Below are 23,207 nucleotides of genomic sequence, written 5' to 3'. Positions count from 1 at the left end.
ATCGGGGACCATCTGTATTAACTTTGAAAACTGAAGTAAATGCAAAATTATCTTCTGTATATAAAAACAAGCCCCAAGGACACCAAAAAACTCCCTACCTCCATTTGCTAACTGGAATAGCAAATATTCTGCCACTCTTCTGTCCCAAGTCCACAGGAGACACGACTAATGAATTGCAACACACTTACTTCTGGCTCAGAAAGTTGCCTGAGCATAGCATCCCAAGCAGCAGTTCAATCACCTGGAGATGGCATAAGATGGAACCACCTGCCCTCTCTTTTTCACATGTCTGTATGCATTCATGCACGCATGCATTCATCAGCTGGAAGCTACAGCAGTGTCCAGCAGTATCTCCACGCTGGCATGGACCTCAGTCTGCCTTGTTTCAGCCTGTTTGGACACTTGCCCTTCACCAGATCCTCACAAACAACTGTGGTAACATACAAGGTGGTGATTATCACCTGCTTGGAGACTGAGGGACCCAGAATTGGTCAGGCCTAGGGTTCAAAGCCAGCTCCATCTGGAGCCAAAATCACTCCCTTTCCAATGAGGAAAGATCAAGCGTGAGGCCTCCGTACCTTCTCCCATCTGTAGAAACGATCAGCTTTTATGATCATGTCCACCAGGCTGACATGGTTGCTGCGGACGGCCACTGCCAGGGCGGTTTTTCCCTGCTGCAATTAAGAGGCAAGAAGAGAAGCCAGAGTTTCTACAGGAGGGGTACACAAGGGTTTCTAGCACTGAGGACAAACCCTCCTGCCCACAGGAAGTGCTTTCCAGCAGTCTACGCTGAGAGCAGAAAGGTTTTCTGGTTTTCTGGGCATGAAGGGGATATGGAAAAGTCACAAATAGAATAAAGCAATAGCAATACATAATTCCAATGACCACCTCTTGTGTTTCTTTAGAAATTAGGAAGCTCTAGAGCTTATGAAACTCAGCCCTCATTAACTCTTCAACATCTCCTGTGAAATAGGGGTTCCCACCCACTTTTCAGATGAAGAAATCAGAGCCCAGAGATGGGGGCTTGGGTTTATCATGTCACTTTTGCCTTTTGCCCACCTCTGGTCAGGCCTCCTTTTCTCCAGGCCTCCCAGACAGTTACCTCCACAGACCTGCAGTGAGATGGGAAGCTCCCCTTCACATCTGGCCAGCTGCCATGGGGCCTAGCTCAAAGAAGGGGCCCCCTCCCAGGTCCAGCTTCAGGATCTGATCCTGCCCCCCAGCTCTACCCCACACCATACTAGGCTGGCCTCGCTGAGTCACATGTGCAGGTGCCCCTCCCCTCAAACACCTGTGACCTCCCAGCCTCATACCAAGTCTTTGGCTCTTCTGAGACCACTAGCACCTGTGGACGTAGCTGTGCTAATGAGCTGGGAAGCTTCCCCAAACCCTGTCCCACATATGGGGGTTGTTGGGCAGTACTGTGGTATTCGTCTACTTCCCAACCCTACCAGGTGACTCAGGAGGTCACAGTCTGATGGGGGCCATAAAGGAGAAAGCAATCATTTCACAGGCCTATACCAGAGGGGGGTGGGCCAAGGCTGAAGGACCTTAGTAGAGAGAGGGGAAGGTGGTGGAAGGTCAGGAAGGCTTCCTGGAGGAGGCTGCATTTGAGCTGGTATAGAAAGGATGACAGTCCTTGAACACCCTGAGAAGGAGGAGGGAGGGGGCATTCGTAGCAGGGTCTCTGGCAAGGGGGGAGCCATGAAAGCCTGAAGCGAGGTGGGTTGTAAGCAGAGGTACCTTATCTCTCAGGTTTAAGTCAACCCCAGCAATGAGGAGCATATCTGCTATGTCCTGCCAGGCGTGCTCTGCAGCCAGGTGAAGGGGCGTCTGCTGCCTCTAGGGGAGAAGCCAAGGGAATAGGTAAGTGAAAAGCATGTAGGGGTGGCCCACTACCCTAAGTCAGCCCGCACAATGATCCTAGTATATTTCTTCTAGTCTTTTCTTTAATGCAGAATGTTTTCAGTTTGTTGGTTTTACATACATGAGATCATCTTATATGTACATTTTACATCTTAATTTTTTTACCCCAACATGACACTTTTTGTGTACTATAAACTCTGATAAACGCCATTTTTGATAACTCCATACTAGCCTATTTTTGTCTGTGCCATAATTTACCTAACCACTTCCCTATTATTAAATATTTAGGCCATTTTCAAATTGAAGACTGATAAATAATACTGCAGTAAATATCTCTGTGCATGAGCTTTTAATATGTTTCTCAAGGCTGAGTTCCCAGCAGTGCTCACACATATCATTTAAAGGTATATGACATATTCTGCCAAATTGCTTTCAGCTCCCAGTGGCTCTGTGAGCCATGCCCTTGCTGGTACTGAGAATTATATGGTTGGTGGGTAGATTGTGGGGACAGGATTTAAAAGGGCTTTACTGATCACAGCTTCAGGACTCAGAGGCCTCTTGTTACACAAGACTGCCTCAGTCACCCCTGCCCTGGGAATGTTCCCTAAGGAAAAAAAGCAATGAAAGGAAAAGGTTGAATGTAAAAAGATGTTCACTGTAATGTTATAGACCGTGGCCAAAACTTGGGAACACCCAAATGTCAAAAGAGGGGAATGATGAACAAAATGATATTCCCTTCAGCAACTATTTAGATTACTTTCTAAAAGCTAAAAAAAAAAAAAAAAAAGTGATTCCTCAACTCTGGGCCATGCTAGGAGACCACAGCCAAGCCTGCCAGCCTGGGAGGGTTTCCAGAAGCTCCCTGGGGCCCGGAAGGTCTCTGTAGCCACTTACATTGTCCACGGCATTCACGTCACTGTCGGAGTTGATGAGGAGCCGGACCAAGGCAGGGAAGTTGTGCCTCACAGCGAGGTGCAGAGGAGAGGCACCCTGCTGTGGGAGGAGATACACGGATCAATCGACCAGTCCCTCCCAGGACTGCCCAGCTGCAGGCTGGTGCTGGGGACAGGAGGAGGGAAGAGTATAGTGCTTCTGGGTTTGGCCCTTTTAGCTTCTTGGATGACATGGGTGGCCTTAGGCAATTATGGTCCCAAAGCTTGAATTCCTGGAGCCCCAAACTGATCCTCTAGATGGGTGAGGGTCTGAAGACCCAAGGGTGAGACCTGCTATATCAGGAACTCACTATGTGACCTCGGGCAAGTCATTTCCCTTCTCTGCTACTCTTCATCTGGCAAGTGATGTTTGCCATGGTCCCTCCTAGCAACAATACCTTAAGATTCTCTGACATCTCATTTAATCCACACATCAACCTAGGAAGTATATAGGGATGGTGTTCTTATTAGTATCTTCATCTTACAAACAGAAACACTGAAGTTCAGAAAACTTAAATGACTTACCCAAGGATACTTAGCTAATAGGAACGATGACTTATTGGACTTTCTACTCCCACCACGTCCCCACCCCCAGTACCTAGGTACCTAGTACCTGATAACTATTTGTGTAGAAAAATGAATGAATGAAAGAGCCAGCTGGGACCAGAAAAGATACCTCACTCCAAGTCCAACTCTCCTTCAACAGTGGAAGACACCATCCCCAATAGTCTCCTGTGGCCCCCTGAGTAAATGACAAAGAGGGGATACTCCCCCCTCTCTAGGTGATATAGTGACACACATCCTGTGGAATAGTACAAGGCCAATAAAATTGATACTAGAAACTAATACTTATAGTAGAAAACATCCTCATGTATTGAGCTATAAAAGGGTTACAGAACAGAATATACACACACATACAACAAAAATGCCCATTATTGACATTATTAGTTTAGGCCAGTGGGTATGGAGTGTTATCAATATTAGAAAAGAAGATTTGAACAAAAAATTATTTGTAGACATGTAATTGTATAGTTACACAGAGCTAGCACAGTTGCTCTGTCTTACCGTGTGATGCCTCCCATCATGTCACAACACAGCAGGAAGGCCCTTACAAGATGCTGGTACCATGCTCTAGGACTTCCCAGCCTCCAGAACAATGAGCTAAATAAATCTCCATTCTTTATAAGTCACCCAGTCTATGGTATTCAGTTATAGCAACACAAAATGGACTAGGACACCGCTCCCCCGCAAAAATCCTAGTAGAATAAAGTCATACAGAAGACAAAAATACTATTCAGTAGCATTCTTGTATTGAATGCTTACAAGAAATGACACATAATTTTAAAAAAGATATTCTAGTCACAATGACAGCCAAAAAATATAAACTAACTATGAAGGATATAATTAGAAATGAATAAGACAAAAGTAAACCAAAGCTATATAACATCACTGAGGGATATAAAAGAAGACATAAAGAAATGGCAAGGCCAGGTGTGGTAGCTCACACCTGTAATCCCAGTACTTTGGGAGGCTAAGGTGGGAGGACCACTTGAGCCCAGGAGTTCGAGATCAGCCTGGACAACATAGTGGGACCCTGTCTCTACAAAAAATTTAAAACAAAATTAGCTGAGCATAGTGGTGCACACCTGTAGTTTCAGCTACCTGGGAGGCTGAGGCAGGAGGATTGCTTGAACCCAAGAGGACGAGGCTGCAGTGAGCCATGATCCTACCACTGCACTCCAACCTGGGCAACAGAGTGAGACCTTGTCTCTAAAAAATCTGTCTGTCTAGGCCAGGTGCAGTGGCTCATGCCTGTAATCCCAGCACTTTGGGAGGCCGAGGTGGGCGGATCACGAGGTCAGGAGATCGAGACCATCCTGGCTAACACGGTGAAACCCCATCTCTACTAAAAAAAAAAATACAAAAAATTAGCCGGGCTTGGTGGCGGGTGCCTGTAGTCCCAGCTACTCGGGAGGCTGAGGCAGGAGAATGGCGTGAACCTGGAAGGCGGAGCTTGCAGTGAGCCAAGATCACGCCACTGCACTCCAGCCTGGGCGACAGAGCAAGACTCTGTCTCAAAAAAAATATCTATATATCTATCTATCTATCTATCTATCTATCTATCTATCTATCAATCATCCTATCCCCACCATGGATGGTGGAGAGGATCCTCTTACCTAAAGCTCTCTCTCCCATCTGTTAAACATTTTTGTCACAATTTGTGAATTTTAACCATTCTGAAAAGTAGTATATCATGGTGGTGTTAACTTACACTTCCCTAATAGCTAATGATGTTAAACATGTTTTCATGTGCTTATTTGCCATCTGTATATCCTCTTCAGTGAAATGTCTATTCATGTCTTTTGCCCATTTTTTTTTTTTTACTGTTGAGTTTTGAGAGCCCTTTATATACTCTAGACACTAGCCTTTATAAGATATGTGATTTGCAAATCTTTTCTCTTGGTCCATAGCTTGTTTTTTCATCCTCTTAACAGATCCTTTGCAGAGCAAAATTTTTTGATTTTGATGAGGTCCAATTAATCAAATTTTTGCTTCAATGGATCATGTTTCTGGTGTCAAGTCTAAGAACTCTTTGGCCTAACCCTAGATCCAAAAATTTTCCTCCTTATATTTTTTCTAAAAGCTTTATAGTTTTACACTTAAGTCTGTGATCCATTTTGAGTTAATTTTGTATAAGGTGTGAGGTTTTAGTTGAGGCTCATTTTTTTGCCTGTGGATGTACAGTTGCTTCAGTCCCATTTGTTGAAAAGGCTATCAAACCTTCTTCCACTGAATTGCTTTTGCATCTTCAATAAAAATCAGCTGGGCGTATTTTCATGGTCTTCCCACCCTTCTTTGTGAAGCATATTACACTGTTCTGCAGCTTTATATTTTTTTTGCTTTTTATTTTTTAGAGCCAAGGTCTTGATCTGTCATGCAGGTTGGAGCGCAGTGTGTGATCATAGTTGACTGCAGCTTCAAACCCTTGGGCTCATATGATCTTCCTGCCTCAGCCTCTGGAGGAACAGGGACTACAGGCACGTGCCTCCAGCTCAGCTAATCTTAAAGTTTTTTTGTAGAGACAGTCTCGCTTTGTTGCCCAGGCTGGTCTTGAACTCCTAACCTCAAGCGCATCTCGACTTCTCAAAGTGCCGGAATTACAAGTGTGAGCCACCATTTCTGGCCTATTCTGCAGTTTTTAATAAACTTTTTCTGTCTTTTTTGTTTTGAGACAGGATCTTGCTCTGTCACCCAGGATGGAGTGCAGTGGCAAGATCATGGCTCACTGCAGCCTTGACCTCCTGGGGCCAAGCAATCCTTCTACTTCAGCCTCCCAAAGTGCTGGGATTACAGGTGCAAGCTACCATGCCTAGCCTAAACTTTTATTTTAGAATATATTTAGTTTTACGTGAAAGTTGCAAAGATAACAGAGTTCCCACATACCCCACATCCAGTTTCCTCTACTGCTAACATCTTAATTAGTATGATGTTTTTGTCATAATTAATGAGACAATGTCAATTGATTATTAGAACTTAACATCCATACTCTATTCAGAGTCTTCAGTTTCTTTTTTTTTTTTTTGAGATGGAGTCTCTCTCTGTTGCCCAGGCTGGCGTGCAGTGGCGCGATCTCGGCTCACTGCGACCTCCGCCTCCTGAGTTGAAGTGATTCTCCTACCTCAGCCTCCCAAATAGCTGGGATTACAGGCGCCCACCACCACACCCGGCTAATTTTTGAGTTAAGATGGGGTTTCACCATGTTGGCCAGGCTGGTCTTGAACTTCTGACCTCAAGTGATCCACTCACCTCAGCCTCCCAAAGTGCTGGGATTACAGGCATGAGCCACTGCGTCTGGCCCTTAGTTTCTACCGAATATCCTTTCTGTTGCAGGATCCCATCCAGGATACCACATTATATTTAGTTGTCATGTCTCCCTATGCTCCTCTTGGCTGTGCTGGTTTCTCAGACTTTCATTGTTTTTCATGACCTTGACATTTTGAGAATTACTTGTCAAGTATTTCGTAGAATGTCTCCTAACCAGGATTTGTCTGCTGTTGTTCTCGGAATTAGACTGGGGTTAGGAGTTTGGGGGAGGATTACAGAGATAAAGTATCATTTTCATCACACCATTATCAAGGGTAAATACTGCCAACATGACTCATCACTGTTGATGTTGGCCTTGACCACCTGGCTGAGGTAGTGTTTGTCAGATTTCCCCAGAGTAAGGTTACTCTTTTCCTCTTCCCGTACTGCACTTTCTGGCAGGAAGTCACTATGCACAGCCTGTACTTAAGGTGTTGGGAGGTTCTGCTTCACCTCCTTGAGAGCATGATATCTACATAAATTATTTGAAATTCTTCCGCATGGGATATTTGTTTATTCTCCTCCATTTACTTATTCAATCATTTATTTATATCAGTATGGACGCACAGTTTTTTTATACTTTGGATTACAATCCAATACTACTTTATTTTATTGCTTAAGTAGTTTCAGAGTTGACCATTGGGAGCTCTCTCTGGTGGCCCCTGTGTCCTTTTGACACAACCTAATCATCGTTTTTTAATGGAGTGCTCCTTTACTTTCTGGCACTACAAGATGCTCCAGACTCACCCTATGTATTAGTATTTCCTGCCCTAGTCCTAGACTGAGCCATTTTCCCAAAGAATCTTGGTTCCTTGTAGTAGAGAATTTGCACCTGCTTTGTTCACATAACTGTATCTTTAAGGTCTTTCCATATAAGTACATTTTTTGAAAACTGTCCTCATTCTTATTTATTTTTATTTTTATTTATTTATTTTTTTGAGACAGAGTCTCACTGTCATCCAGGCTGGAGTACAGTGGCACAATCTCAGCTCACTGCAACCTCTGCTTCCTGAGTTCAAGCGATTCTTCTGCCTCAGCCTCCTGAATAGCTGGGACTACAGGCGTGTGCCACCACACCTGGCTAATTTTTTGTACTTTTAGTAGAGACGGGGTTTCACTATGTTGGCCAGGCTGGTCTCGAACTCCTGACCTCATGATCCACCTGCCTCAGCCTCCCAAAGTGCTGGGATTACAGGTGTGAGCCACTGCGCCCGGCCGTCCTCATTCTTTTTTATAGTTACATAGTATTCCATTGCATGGATGGGCCACAGTTTATTACATTGTCTCCTAGTTAAGCATGGGTTTCAATATTTTGCTATTACAAATGATACTGCAGCAAAAACCTTGTACATATTATCATTCCATACATGTGGAAGTATATCTGTCAAATAAATTCCTAGATTTGTTGAGTCAAAGGGCACATGTATTTGTAAGTTTTATACATATTGGTAAATTACCCTCTGAACAGATCGTACCAACTTCTACTCCTTCCAGTAACATATGAAGGTGTCTATTTCCCTACAGATTGGTAAATTACCCTCTGAACAGATTGTACCAACTTCTACTCCTTCCAGTAACATATGAAGGTGCCTATTTCCCTACAGCTTTGTCAATCCACTTGGCAAAACTTTTGGATTTTTGCCAACCTAATGAGTGAAGAATTATATCTCCATGTAGTATTAATTTGCATTTCTCTTAAGAATCCTCTGTGTTTCCTTTTCTACCAAATGTCTCTTCATAACCTTTGGCCATTTTTCTCTTGTGTTGTTTGTTTTTTAACTTTGTAATGATTTGTGGGAATTTTTAAAAAATTTTTTTTAGAGATAAGGTCTCACTCTGTTACCCAGGCTGGAGTGCAGTGGTGTGATCACAGCTCACTGCAGCCTCAACCTCCTCCGCTCAAGTGATCCTTCAACTTCAGCCCCCAGAGGATCTGGGACTACAGGCAGGTACCCACCACCATACCCGGCTGATTTTTAAATTTTTTGTAGATACGGGGGTCTCACTATGCTGCCCAGGCTGGTCTCGAACTCCTGGACTCAAGCGATCCTCCCACCTCAGCCTTCCAAAGTGTTGGGATTACAGATGTGAGCCACTGCACCTGGCAACGCCTTCACTTTTTATGAATGTGTCTTTTGACACTGTTACTACCAGCAAGTTACTTTTGGTATTAAAAACAAAGCAAATACAACAAATAAAAGTGACACAATTAAATAAATAAATAAATAGGCAGCAAAAACAGCTAAAATGAAAAGGAAAACAACATACTAAATGAAGGTAACAGGAAAACTTCTTAGTTTGACCACTGGGCTGGCATCAGGATTCTGGTGTCTTGATGGGCAGAAACAAGTAAGCATTTAGCCTGAATTCTTTCTAGCTGGAGGTGATACTATTTACATGGGGGAAAATGGGAGGGCATTAAAAAAAAGTCCTTGCTTTTCTAGGGCTTTGGAATCAAGGATGCCTTTCTTCTCTATATTCCAATGAATTGTGTAATGTTGTTTTTATAATAAGTTTAAATATAGTACTTGTTTTAGCTGTAAGAAATGACCCCTTTCTGATTTAAACCATAGATGTTTCCCTGTTTATGTAATGGGAATAATAATAATAGTACTTATAGGTAAGGAAACAGGCCCAAATAGGTCAAAGCAGCTTGCCCAGGATTATTCAGTTTGTAGTACCAGCATACAAAGCCAGGCCTAACACCAAAGCCTCTTGTTTTTAAATTTTAATTATTTAATTCAGCTTGATAGTTATTGTCAACTTGCCTTCTAGAAAGATAGTCACCATTTGAAACTCCCACTACTTTTTTTTTTCTTTTTGAGACAGTCTCACTCTGTTGCCCAGGCTGGAGTGCAGTGGAGCGATCTTGGCTCACTGCAACTTCTGCCTCCTGGGTTCAAGTGATTCTCGTGCTTCAGCCTCCCAAGTAGCTGGGATTACAGGGATACACCACCATGCCTGAGTAATTTTCTTTTCTTTTTTTTTTGAGGCGGAGTCTTGCTCTGTCGCCCAGGCTGGAGTGCAGTGGTGCGATCTCGGCTCACTGCAAGCTCTGCCTCCCGGGTTCATGCCATTCTCCTGCCTCAGCCTCCTGAGTAGCTGGGACTACAGGCGCCTGACACAAAGCCCGGCTAATTTTTTGTATTTTTAGTAGAGATGGGGTTTCACCATGTTATCCAGGATGGTCTCGATCTCCTGACCTCGTGATCCGCCCGCCTCGGCCTCCCAAAGTGCTGGGATTCCAGGTGTGAGCCACTGTACCCGGCCACACCTGGCTAATTTTCTATATTTTTGTAGAGATGGGGTTTTGCCATGTTGCCCAGGCTGGTCTCGAACTCCTAGCCTCAAGCAATCTGCTCACCTTGGCCTCCCAAAGTGCTGGGATTACAGGCTCACGCCACCATGCCCAACCCAATTTTTTTTTTTTTTTTTTTTGAGACAGAGTCTCACTCTTGCCCAGGCTGGAGTGCAGTGGTGTGATCATGGCTCACTGTGGCCTCAACTTCCTGGGCTCAAGCAGTCCTTTAGCCTCAGCCTCCCAAGTAGCTAGGACTACATGTGTACACCACCATGACCAGCCAGTTTTTCAAAAAAAATTCTGTAGAGATGGATCTCCCTGGGTTACCCAGGCTGGTCTTGAAGTCCTGAGATCAAGCAATACTCCAGCCTCGGCCTCCCATAGTGCTGAGATTACAGGTGTGAACCACTGCACTCCCAAAGTCTGTGTTTTAACCAAAAGATTATACAGTTCCTGTGTGTGGACCAAATGTATAACAGTAAAAAGATTAACAATTAAGTGGACAGATAGGCAACATAAAAGATTAATAGTAAAACCCAATGCCTAGGCTTGGCACAGTGACTCATGCCTGTAATCCCAGCACTTTGGGAGCCTGAGGCTGGCGAATCACTTGAGTCAGGGGTTCAAGACCAGCCTGGCCAACATGGTGAAACCCCAGTATTTTTCTACCAAAAATACAAAAAAAAAAAAAAAAAATTAGCTGGGCATGGTGGTGTGTGCCTCTAGTTCCAGCTATTCAGGAGGCTGAGGCAGGAGAATTGCTTGAACCTGGGAGGCAGAGGCTGCAGTGAGCCGAGATTGCAACACTGCACTCCAGCCTGGGCAACAGAGCAAGACTCTGTCTCAAAAAAAAAAAAAAAAAGAAAAGAAAAAAAAAAGCCCCAATGCATAAACGAGCAGAGAACAGGAGCTAATAATTCAGTTCAGAGGAATTGCAAGCAAGCTGGGTTTCTAATCCTATTACAGCTACAACAGTATTTCACTCTCCTAAGTGCTGCCGGCTCCCCTACTCCTGGTCCGCACCCCAACCCCAAGGATCCGATGTGCCTGTTTCTCCCTGTGCTTCATCAGTGTGCTCATGGAAGGCTTTGCAATGGAGACCCCCTTCAACACTCGCACCATACTTACATGATCAACCACGTTGGCGCAGCCTCCTGCGTGGATGAGGACCCGAGACACATCCTCCGAGCCACTGAGGGCTGCATAGTGAAGGCAGCTTAGGTTTTTCTAGAAGGAAACAGGCATCAATGCGTTATCACAAGGACCCCTCCTACTGAGGTTTGCAAAGCTCTTCGAGATTCATTTTTCCATTTGAGTGTCACAACACCCCTGGGAGTATTATCCCCATTTAACTGAGGCTGGAAAAATCAATGACTTTCCCAGGTCTCATGACCAGTAAAAGGAACTCATTATGGTCTCAGTCTTTTCCTCACCTCCTATCACAAACTCAAGAATTCAGACCAAAGCCTGCCCAATTCTATGGCTGGTAAAGACATGCAGATGATAGACTTTTTTTTTTCCCGAGACAGAGTCTCACTCTGTCACCCAAGCTGGAGTACATGGCACAATCTCGGCTCACTGCAACCTCCACCTCCCAGGTTGAAGTAATTCTCCTGCCTCAGCCTCCCGAGTAGCTGGGATTACAGGTGCCTGCCACTACGCCCAGCTAATTTTTGTATTTTTAGTAGAGACGGGGTTTCACCATGTTGGCCAGGCTGGTCTTGAACTCCTGATCTTGTGATCCACCCGTCTCAGCCTCCCAAAGTGCTGGGATTACAGGCGTGAGCCACCGCACCTGGCCAGGAGGTGGTTTTTAAAGAGGAAGACAAATAAGATTTGCCAATACAGAGCAAACTCCACCCAGCATGCACTGCCCAGCACAAGCTGGTCTTGGTGCCTCCAAACAGGATCCTGGCTGGGCTAGAATGGAGGCTTGATCTTGGTGGGCCTCAAAGGGCTCTCTTTCAGTCAGTGCCCAACCTGGCCCAGTGATCACCTTGCACAAGGCACACACCAGGCAGGCCCCACTAGGGTGACCCACCACTGTCTCAGTTTGCCCAGGATTGAGGAGTTCTTGAGATGTGGGACTTTCCATTTTAAAATCAGGACAGTATGGGGCAAACCAGGACTAGCTAGCCACCCTGCTAAAGTCCCAGCTGAGCGAGTACCTGGGGTGTGTGGGACTCAGTCCATCTCCCAGTGGGAAATGCAGTCACCGTGGGCTTGGCACCTCCTCCGAGACCCTGTGGCATGACATTCTGAGAGGGGTGGGAGTGTTGAAATGGAACGTGGCCTCTGCCAGAAACCACAAGCTGAGGTTGGAGCAAAAGGCCTGGCGTGATGAGCAGCTCCAGCCCCCCACCCAATGGCCACCCAGCTGGGTGCAACCTTCCCAGTCTTTTTTTTTTTTTCTTGAGACAGGGTCTCAATCTGTCACCCAGGCTGGAGTACAGTGGTGCAATCATAGCTCACTGCAGCCTCAAACTCCTGGGCTCAAGCAATATTCCAGCTTTGGCCTCCCAAAGTGCTGTGTTACAGGCATGAGCCACCTTGCCCAGCCTACTTTTCTTTTCAAAGCCAGTCAAATTAAGCAGTGGGGAAATAAATATTTTTTAGCATAACATTTTAATTCTCTGTTTTTGAACTGCCTGTGTGTTTTTGCTATTATTATTTATATTGTATTATTTATTATTAATATTTTTGCTATACTATTGACATTTAGAACAAAGCAAGAATTCCAGAACCTGAAGCCATTCAACCAGCCAGAAAGGTTATTTGTCACTGATTCAAAAATAAAAAGCAAACCCAAAACACCAACTCACTACCTAAAGAAAGGCCACAACCCCGCTTTCCAGGTCATAGAGGAGAATTTTTACTGGCAGAACTGATGAGTACAACGGGGAGAGAGAGAAGAGGTTCATCCAGGGTCACACCTCAAGCCCCAGCTCTGTCAGGGGAAAAGCTTCATCAGTGGGTGGGAGCTCTGGAGTCAGGGGAAAAGGCTTTTGAGACTCAGCTTTGCCTCGTACTAGCTTGTGACCCTGAGAAAGTGCCCTCAAAGCTCCAGTTTTCTCATCTGCAAAATGGGTGGAATTTTTCTGGGGTAACAGTTATGAAGGGGCTTTGTGAACGATCAAGAGCTCAACAAATAGAAGACACTAACAGGGCCAGGTGCAATGGCTATCCCGCCTATAATCCCAACACTTTGGAAGGCTGAGGCAGGTGGATCACTTGAGGTCAGGAGTTCAAGACCAGCCTGGCCAACATGGTGAAACCCTGTCTCTACCCAAAAAATACAAAAATGAGCCGGGGGTAGTGGCACACACCTGTAGTCCCAGCCTCTTGGGAGGCTGAGTCAGGAAAACTGCTTGAACCCAGGAGGCGGAGGTTACAGTGAGCCAAGATCGCACCATTGCACTTCAGCCTGGGCGACAGAGTAAGACCCATCTCAAAAAAATTAAAACAAAAAAACACTAACAGGTATTGAGGTGTTGGGCCCTATTATGTCCTGGGCACTGTGTTAGGTATTTAATCCTCACAACAATGTAAAAAAGTAAATGTCACTGCACTTTATAGTTGGGAAACAAGGCTCAGAGAGGTTAAGTAACTTGCTCCAGGTCACAGGGCTCAGCAGTGGAGAAGCCAAGATCAGAACCTTGTCTGCTGCCTCGAAGCCTCTATTCACTCAGGGTTCAGGAATCCCTGTGGCCGTTACTGCCGACATGGCTATGGCTCAGCAGCCAAGAGCCGACCGCAGTCTTGGGAGGGCCTGGCTACCTGGGTGAGGGCATTCACGGTGCTCCCAGCCCTGAGGAGGAGCTGCACACAGTCAGGGTGGGATCCTCCAGCAGCCGAATGCAGGGCAGTCAGACCTTCCTGCAACACACAAGAAGAGCAATGAGGATGGTGGGGAGGCCCACCCCCAAGTGACCCCCAATCCCACGGTGAGAGGATGCCCCTTGTGCCTTGGCCCCAGGACCCCTTGAGCTCTCCACTGCCCTGCCCCTGGGAACAATGAACTTTCTTGTTTGTGATTCCATGAGCCCCACCCCTGAAGTCCTCACTTTATGGAGCACACACATGGCATAGTCACTCCTGGCTCCACATCTCTGCTCATGTTCTGCCCCGGTCAGGCTGTCTCAGCCCCTCCCCTCTATTTCCTTCTCCTCCAGCAAGCCCTCCCTCACCATCCTGTCCACGGTGACGTCTCCCTTCTTTGAACACACACTTTCTGTCTCACTTCTGGGGTGAGGCATCATGCCAAGTACTACCATTAAGCCTGGAGTTCAGTGCTGCTGCTTGTCTTTCCCTGGTGGGCTCTCAGTTCGAGATCATGCCCTCAGCCTTCTGGCTTTAGACTTCACCATGGACTGGTGGGGGTTCCTCGAAGGCAGAGAGCAAGCAAGGGTCATGCATCTCGCCATCCCCAGGCGGTGACTCACCGCATTCTGCTCCTCCAGGTCCAGCCCGATGTCCACAAGTCGCTGCAGCACAGCCATATGGCCCCGACCAGCAGCCAGATGAAGGGCAGTGTTCCCCTCCTGCAGGAAAAAGGGCTCCTGAGAGGCCAGCAGACCAGAGAGTCCCAGAATCACAGACCTGTGATGAGCTGCAGCCATGCACACTGGGTCAGTGCCACCCTGCTCCTGACAACTGGGCCAAAAACTATAACCAGGGGCAGATTCAAGGGCCAAGCCCTGGTCTTTCTTTCCTTATACTTCAAGGCAGGCACATTGCTTAAAAATTAAACAAATCCAATTCTACTTTCCACGTGCCCATCTGAAGCCGGTCCCTCCTCATGTCCCCCAGATCCATCTCCTCTCACGGCTCAAGGCCCCAGCAACTCTCCCCTGCGCTCAGGCTGTTCCAGGCAGCTGCTTGGCTCAGTCACCTGCCTCCCTCAAGTCTTTGTGTGAGACGTTAGTTTCTCATTGAGTAGCATGGCCTGCCCGGGCCACACTGAAACTACAACCCCCACCTCTGTCCTCCTGAGACTATTTTTGGGTCCTGCTTTTCCTTTCCCCACTGCACAGATCACCTGCTAACACACTCTGTCACTGGCTGAGTGCTTAGTATTTATTGTCTGACTTTTTTTTTTTTTTTAATTTTACTTTAAGTTCTGGGATACGTGTGCAGAATGTGCAGGTTTGTTACATCGGTAAACGTGTGCATTGGTGGTTTGCTGCACCCATCAACCCGTCACCTAGGTATTAAGCACTGCATGCATTAGCTATTTGCCCTGATGCTCTCCCTAACTTTGCCCCCCTTCAACAGGCCCTGGTGTGTGTTGTCCCCCTCCCTGTGTCCATGTGGTTCTCATTGTTCAGCTCCCACTTATGAGGGAGACCATGCAGTGTTTGGTTTTCTGTTCCTGTGTTAGTTTGCTGAGGATGATGGTTCCTGGCTTCATCCATGTCCCTGCAAAGGACATGATCTCATTCCTTTTTATGGCTGCATAGTATTCCATGGTGTGTATGTGCCACATTTTCTTTATCCAGTCTATCATTGATGGGCATTTGGGTTGGTTCCATGTGTCTGACCCTTCTTGCTGGAACATAAGCACCACAGGGGCATCTATTTTGTTCTCTGAAGTTTCCTTAAGTGCCTAGAATAGGGCCGGGGGTACATGGCCAACACTCAGTAGATATTTGTTCAATGAGTCAATAATGTAGGAGGGTCTTCAGGTGATCATGTGGAGAGCTTGACATGTGTCCCTGGGACTTGAGGGCCAGAGGACTGGTAGTTGCTTTGCACTTGGAAAGTCTAAAGGTGACAGTGACATAGCCAAGAGAAGCAGCTGCATGGGGCAGGGCAGAGGGCGCAACGTACTTTGTATCAGAAGTGGCCCCTGCTGAGGTCAGCCTGCGTGGGGTTGTCCTTTAAAGGGATCTCCCTGCTGGGCATGGTACCTCACACCTGTAATCCCAGCACTTTGGGAGGCTGAGGTGGGCAGATAGCTTGAGCCCAGGAATTCCAGCCTGGGCAATATAGTAAGACTCCGTCTCTACAAAAGATACAAAAATTAGCCAGATGTGGTGGTGCGTGCCTGTAGTTCCAGATACTGGAAAGACTGAGGCAGGAGGATTGCTTGAGCATGGGAAGTTGAGGCTGCAATGAGCTGTGATTACGCCACTACACTCCAGCCTGGGCAACAGAGTAAGATCTTGTCTCAAAAAAAAATTGAATTCAGCTAAAAATAATAAAATTTTAAAATAATTTTAAAAAGCCCTCAACAGCTTTGTTTTTCTCTCCTTGCCAGCTTCTCTGCAGCCTATAGCCTGCAGGCTGGCTGCTGCGAGCCAGGACAAGCGGTGGGAAATGCAATCACAGCGTGAAATCTCTGTGTTCAGAGACACGCAGGAAGCAGGTGAACCATGAAGGGCCAACACATGCCCCCAGTTAGCAGGGTGTAGAGACCGTGGCAGGGCTTTCTTCTTCCTTCTGGGTTATAAATATCCATGTCCTGCCATTTGAAGCTGCAAGTGGCACACATGGATGCCTGACAGGCGCTCGCACTTTCCTGGGCAGGGCAGGGGGCTCAGAGGCAGGACAGCTGGGCAGAAGGCAGCCTTGGCGTGGGCCCGGGGCCCTCTCCCCTCCACCTTGGGGATGTCCAGCATCTCCACTTCTGTGAGGCCTTGACAGCAACTTTGCCCTTCCAAGTGGAGTTAATAGCTCTCTCTGGACTCTCAAAGCCTCCCTAGCATTCTAGAGTACACGTGGAGTGACCTGTGTTGTCATTGACTCTAAGAGGTCTATCCCCCTTATCAGGCATTGAAAAACTTACCGTGCCCCACTCCCAGATGAAACTGAAAATGAAAACACTCCCATTGTGAAAACACAAAACTTAACAGGGGTATGCAATTTTAAAAGCTTCTTTGCAGAATTTCTGATTGCAAGATTCTGGAGAAGTTCATCAAAGCTGTATTTTATCTTTCACTGTTCTTGGTGCTCATGCTCTCCTGGGGCCCTGAGGTGTGATCATTTTGCCTCTTGGGTTTGCCAGTCCTGGCAGGCACTGCCCTCCCCGCTCTTTGCATGCCTAGTTCCTGGCCCAGTGCCTTGCACAGGGTAGGACCTGCTCAGCCCAAAAGGATGAGTGTGGATGGACTCAGTGCAGAACCCAAGGGGGTCCAACCCAGGAGGCAGCCTGGTAAGGGGAGAAAGACAGCTTTATGCATTAGGATGCTGCTTCCAAATCCAGCTCTACCTGTGTCTCACTGTGTGGCCCTGGCTAAGGCATGTCCCTCTCTGGGCATCAGTTTCCACAGCTGTAAAATGAGAAGGCTGAATTCAGATGCCTTCCAGTTCCAAGACCCTGCAGTGCATTTGTGTGTGAGCTCTCTATCACTTCATTTTACACAGAACTCCCTCTATCCTGGCCAAGCACATTAACCAGAAGATTAATAATGGAGTTAATCTCTTTGTTGGAGGCATCATTTAGAATTTGCTGTAACAGGCCGGGCGCGATGGCTTACGCGTGTAATCCCAGCACTTTGGGAGGCTGAGGCGGGTGGATCACGAGGTCAGGAGATCAAGATCATCCTGGCTAACACGTGAAACCCCATCTCTACTAAAAATACAAAAAAAATTAGCTGGGTGTGGTGGCGGGCGCCTACAGTCCCAGCTATTCGGGAGGCTGAGGCAGGAGAATGGTGTGAACCCGGGAGGCGGAGCTTGCAGTGAGCCAAGACAGCGCCACTGCACTCCAGCCTGGACGACAGAGCGAGACTCCGTCTCAAAAAAAAAAAAAAAAAAAAGGGAATTTGCTGTAACATATTTTGCCTAATGATTCACAAGGGTCCAATGATAAGAGTCATTTGCAGGGTAGACCCTCTGGTCCCCGTCCCTTACCCCTTCTCAGATTGGTGAAATCCTGCTCACAAGCCCTGAATGATATGCTACCTTCTCCATGCTCCCAACCTATTCCTGCCATAACCATAGCAGAGCAGATGTGTGGCTACCACCCCCTAACACTTCCCCACATCTGTCAACAACAGACAACCCCAGTAGATCACAGCCCTGCTCAACCCACTCCAGGCAGCACTACCAACCACCCAGATCTGCCACCCTGGCCAGCCACGTCGGATCAGAAATCCTTACTATGCCTGTGGCACTGAGTTCCTCGAGTAAGAAACGGTGTCTTGGGCATCTTTATGCCACCAACCTGTAGCACAGGGCTGGCCCATAGCACACGCTGGTGAAGGGCCTGCTGGATGAACACTAAATACACTCTCATCTTTGGGCCACACGGGCCTCCAGCGCAATCGGAGTCAGACGTGGACACAGGTGAGGAGCCAGAGCCTGGAAGGTGGCAAGTTTTGCACCCTGGTCAGGATCCCAGAGCCTCACGGACACGGTACCTTGTCTTTGACATTGTGGTCACAGCCAGAGCCCACGAGGAAGTCCAGAGCATCCAGCTGCCCGTGCTCAGCTGCCCTGTGAAACGCCGTCCTCCCCAGCTGGCCGGGAGGAGAAGCGGTGTGAGCCTTCCTCACTCTGTCAGTGGGCATACCTGCCTCTGCCCACCTGGCCTCTGTTCCCCAACCACTCTGGCTTTGTAGTGGCCTCTCCTGCCCCAGACACTGTCCTCTCCCCTTGCCTCCCCACACCCTGCCTGGAAAGCCCAGACCCAACTTCCCAACAAGAGACACTTGCTGGGGTCCCTCCCTGGCTGAAGTCCTGAGGTGGCTCCTTGCTGCCTAATGAATAAACAGATTCTTGAGGATGGGGGTTGAGATCGCCAGAGGGACCCCCAACCACCCATCAGACCTTCCCTCCTAAGATTCCAGTCCCTCAGAACTCACACTAGAGCCCTTTCCTGTCCCTAAAGCTCCCACAAGCCTCGCTCTTCCATTTGGTGCCCTCTCCAACCCCTGATTTCCAATCTTACCCACAAATCCAGTTTATTTACCAAATGCCACCTCCTCCAGGAAGCAGAAGCAATGGCTTGCTTTTCTAACCCACCTAGTCCTTGATCAAGACCTCTCTGTGGCAACTGACTGTGTTCTGCTTGTATTCTGCTCATTTGCGCCTCAACACCTCTTCCCAACCAGCGGCTCCCCAGGCCAGGTGCAATATGCCCACAGATCAAAGGATGCACCCAAGGAATGTGGTAAGCCCAGTGTGCAAGAGTGGCCCCAGGAGCCCCCCGCCCAATGGGAATGATGAGTAGCCCTGAGGCACTCTCACCTTGTCTACGTGGTCCAGGGCCACATCCTCCAGGTCCTCCATTATGAACGCCAGCACAGGCACATGGCCTTTTTGGGCTGCGCAGTGCAGTAAGGTCAGGCCATCCTGGAAACAAGTGCAGGAGGGTTCCTGCAGTCTGTGAAGGGAGGCCCTTTTCACACACTGCCAGTCTCCCAAACAGCGAGTGTTTGGGACCCAGAACACAGCCTCCCCATGGATACAACACTGTAAATGATGAATGGACCCGAGGGATAACCCACTCTGCTGCCCACTTAGCCTTAGGGGGGCTGGCAGGAGTCGGGATGCCAAAATTCAAATCCCAGCTCCAGCACCCCTCAGCTCCGGAGTCTCGGGCCAGTTACCTCCACCTCTCTGAGCCTCCACTTTCACACAGGACAAACTAGCATCATAATCCCCGACCACTTCAGTGGGTGGTTGAGAGGACTGGACCTACAGGAAAGGTATTTTATCAACTGAAAATTAATTCAAACATGTACGGTGAGGTCGTGTAGCACTAGTAGCCTCCAGAACAGTTAAGAAGGTTCTAGGTATCTGCCTTCCTTGATACAGCTGCTAATGAAGAAGCAGGTGACCAAGTGACCAGTGTATGTCACTAGGAAGTGACCTCCTCACCTTCTAGGGCAGATTAAGAGCAGATGTGGTCTGCAGGGAGTAGAGGGAAGTGGCCTGGGTTGGGGGTGGACAGGAAGAAGGTCTCTGGGGCCTAGAAGCAAAAGGAAGGAGACTTGCAAATACTATGTTTATGCCCCAGAGCTTCTACTCCTGCCTTGTATTAAGGTCAGATTATTTGAAGTCCTGTTTGCAACCCATCAGTGGGTCATAAAAATCAGTACAACAGTGTTTTACATCTTGACAGTGGTCAAATCTCAGTGAATATAAATTTTCAATATGTGTACTTCTTTTTTTTTTTTTTTTTTTTTTTGAGTCGGAGTCTCACTCTGTCTCCCAGGCTAGAGTACAGTGGTGCGATCTCGGCTCACTGCAACTTCCACCTCCTGGGTTCAAGCAATTCTCCTGCCTCAACCTCCCGAGTAGCTGGGATTACAGGCAGCCACCACCACGCCCGGCTAATTTTTTGTATTTTTAGTAGAGATGGGGTTTCCCCATGTTGCCTAGGCTGGTTTCGAACTCCCGAACTCAGGCAATCTGCCTGCCTCGGCCTCCCAAAGTCCTGGGATTACAGGCATGAACCACCACGCCCGGCCCAGTGTGTGTATTTCATGTTGGTATCATGGACCCCTTGATATGAAAGGATGAGAAGGACACTTCCCTCTTGTGTTCTTCCCAAATTCCATAGCCCTGGACGGATGATTTTCATGAGGAAAACATGAGACAAACCCAAATTAAGGACATTCCACAAAATACTTGGCTACTACTCTCCAAAACGGTTAAGGTCATGGAAAACAAGGAAGAACAAAGAAATCATCACAAGATTGGAAGAGACTAAGGAGACAAAATGACTAAAGCATTATAGAATATTAATGGAAAAACTGCTGAAATCTTATTATAGTCTATAGTTTAGTAAAACTGTAAATATCACCAATGCCTGGCAAGGTAGAGCTACATAAACAGCAGCGAAAGGAGAAAGCTTTAGGGCAGAAGCAGGACTGGGCCTGTGGCATCTATAGGTAAGATGAATCCCTTTGGGGAAGACCTTGAATAAGAGATTGAAAGGAAGAGTGGGGTCTATCATTTGCAAAGCTGGCTGCATCTATTCCTCCTGCCCTTGGAAGCACACCCCAGGGTGGTGCTACTCTTCTCACTGAGACTCTACACTGGTCCTGTGATGGGCTTTTGAATGCAATGGAGGTGATACCACGTGGCTTTCCAGCCTTGGCCTCTAGAGCCCTTGCCAATTCTGCTCTGGCTCTTTTGCTGTCCTGAGGCAGACACATAAGGAAGTCTAGGCTGAACTCCCTAAAGATCAGTGACCACCTGGAGAAACCAGCTGCACCATCCCAGACATTCCAACCCTTCCTGCAGAGGCTCCAGACATGTGAGTGAGACCCTCCAGGGCCAGCCAGCCCCCAGCCCACCCACCTGCTGACTGCAGCCTTGTAGGTGAGCCCAGGCAAGGCCACAGGAACTGCCCGCCAACCACAGAATTGTGGAAAATAATATATCATTACTTTCAGATTCATTACGTTTAAATTTTAGAGTGATTTGTTGCCAAAAACAGAAAACAAATATAGAGGGGATCTGCTTAACTAGAAGAGTCCGTGACTCAGAACCTCACCCTCCATATACACCCAAGACCCCGCCTCCCTCATTCTAGAACATGGAGGCTCATTCACAACTCTGTTTATAGTATACTCCATCAAGACAGCACTGGATTCCCCAGGGCCACTGAGCCCTTCCAAGGCCAAGCCAGGCCAGGCTGGCAGGACCAGACAGCAGAACCCTGAGCTTGAACCTGGGTGTATTCACAGGGTGCCCTCCTGCTGGCCCCTCCCTCCCACACTCCAGTTCAGATCTTGTGACCCACCACATAGGGGCATGGTTCTCTGGGATGGATTTTCCAACCCAAATGCTTTCAGGCACTCCCACCACTGCCAACAGGATCCTAACAATGGCATGGGACAGACCTCTTATGTGCCACAACCCTTTTACATCTGGTGAAGCCTATAGACCCCTTCTCAGAATATTTACTTAAATGCAAAAAAAAATTATACAGGAAAAAAAATTAATCAAATACACAGGCTTACAATGGCGTATTAGTTTCCTATTGCTGCTATAACAAATTACTATAAGCTTCATGGCATAAAACAGCATAAATTTATTATTTTACAATACTAGAGGTCAGAACTCTAAATTGGGTTGGCAATGCTGTGTTTCTTCTGGAAGCTCTTGGGGAAAATCCATTTCCTGGCCTTTTCCAGCTTCTAGAAGCTGCCCGAATTCCTTGGCTAGTGGCTCACATCACTCCAGCCCTGCCTCCTTCATCACACCTCACACATATCACATCACACCCAACAAATTCCTATTGGTGTGTTAGGTTGTGGGGGTTCAGAGGTTCTAGGGATTAGGATATGGACATCTTTGGGGTGCCATTATTCTGCCTACCATAAAAGGAAACCAATTATATTGAAATTAAGTTATGAAAATATTACAAACCAAGTTTTCAATCTAGTAACATATGTGTTTCCTTACTGACCCGTTAAACAACAAGATCTAGTGAAGGGTCTAATCACTGCCATAATTTCAATGTAATGATAAGTGTAAGAAGTATTTTAAGATAACTGCAAAAATTTTCATGTGATATGAAAATAGCTAAATTTTCTATTAGTGACAAAGTCACAAGTACTAATATTACCTACATTCATGATTGGAAAAAATGCTAATTAGCCGGGAGTGGTGGCACGCGCCTATAGTCCCAGCTACTCTGGGGGCTGAGGCAAGAGAATTGCTTGAACCCAGTAGGCGGAGGTTGCAGTGAGCTGAGATCATGCCACTGCACTCCAGCCTGGGTGACACAGCAAGACTCCATCTCAAAAGAAAGAAAGAAAAAAATGCTAAATTTTCAAGAAGTTAGCCAAAATAAATATGCATTTTTTTCCAATCCAAGTTCATAGGTCCTCTGAATTTTCTCCAAGAACCCATGTGAGAACTCCTGGCTGAGGGATTTGGCCCAGAAATGTTTGCATTTTCCTATGGGCCACTGACACCCTAAAAGGTTAGACACCAGTGGAGGGATTCCAGGCACTCTCACTTGCTGGGGCCCTGCTCCCTCAAATCCCAGTGCAGGCTGATAGAGAAACTCGCCCACCATACCACACTTGGTAAATGATGCTTTGCTCCTTTCACCCCACCGCACTGAGCACAAGGGGTGCAGAGCCTGGCAGGAGGGTGGAGGAGACCTCACCTCCTTCTCATTTAATTTTTCTAACTACCCTCTGAGGGAGTTACTTTGATTTCTCTCTTGTAAATAAGGAGGCCAGCCAGAGGGCTGGGAACTCTCCCAACTCACCGAATAGTAAAGGGAGGTGGGGGAGATCAGATGAAAGAGGGACAGGCAGAGGCAGGTTGGGGGC

At 47.2% G+C, this 23,207-nt stretch overlaps 1 protein-coding gene across 1 annotated transcript in view, besides 3 other annotated features; it reads right to left on the bottom strand.

Moving 5' to 3' along the window:
• Positions 1-23,207, bottom strand: part of ANKDD1A (ankyrin repeat and death domain containing 1A) — a 46,790-nt gene that overhangs the window by 13,366 nt on the left and 10,217 nt on the right. The window contains exons 5-12 of the mRNA NM_182703.6: positions 19,156-19,260; positions 18,327-18,425; positions 14,406-14,504; positions 13,741-13,839; positions 11,092-11,190; positions 2,761-2,859; positions 1,744-1,842; positions 579-674 (exon numbers count right to left, since the gene is read on the bottom strand). Coding sequence (NP_874362.3) covers positions 579-674; positions 1,744-1,842; positions 2,761-2,859; positions 11,092-11,190; positions 13,741-13,839; positions 14,406-14,504; positions 18,327-18,425; positions 19,156-19,260 — 795 coding nt within the window. The remainder of the gene's footprint in view (positions 1-578; positions 675-1,743; positions 1,843-2,760; positions 2,860-11,091; positions 11,191-13,740; positions 13,840-14,405; positions 14,505-18,326; positions 18,426-19,155; positions 19,261-23,207) is intronic.
• Positions 13,296-14,173: an enhancer, noted in NCBI's record as "H3K27ac-H3K4me1 hESC enhancer chr15:65223351-65224228 (GRCh37/hg19 assembly coordinates)". NCBI's record gives its function as "activates a minimal SCP1, AML or CMV promoter by ChIP-STARR-seq in naive H9 embryonic stem cells {active_cell/tissue: H9 hESC(naive)}" and the evidence as "EXISTENCE:reporter gene assay evidence [ECO:0000049][PMID:30033119]".
• Positions 14,261-14,555: a silencer, noted in NCBI's record as "tiled region #9291; HepG2 Repressive non-DNase unmatched - State 20:ReprD". NCBI's record gives its function as "represses a minimal TATA promoter and a strong SV40 promoter by Sharpr-MPRA in HepG2 cells {active_cell/tissue: HepG2}" and the evidence as "EXISTENCE:reporter gene assay evidence [ECO:0000049][PMID:27701403]".
• Positions 14,413-14,512: an enhancer, noted in NCBI's record as "active region_9588". NCBI's record gives its function as "activates an Ori minimal core promoter by ATAC-STARR-seq in GM12878 lymphoblastoid cells {active_cell/tissue: GM12878}" and the evidence as "EXISTENCE:reporter gene assay evidence [ECO:0000049][PMID:35858748]".

This window comes from Homo sapiens, chromosome 15 (genome assembly GCF_000001405.40).
Source record: "Homo sapiens chromosome 15, GRCh38.p14 Primary Assembly".
Classification (NCBI taxonomy): domain Eukaryota; kingdom Metazoa; phylum Chordata; class Mammalia; order Primates; family Hominidae; genus Homo; species Homo sapiens.
The sequence above is the reverse complement of the archived record's forward strand: the minus strand, read 5'-3'. Positions and strand labels throughout refer to the sequence as shown.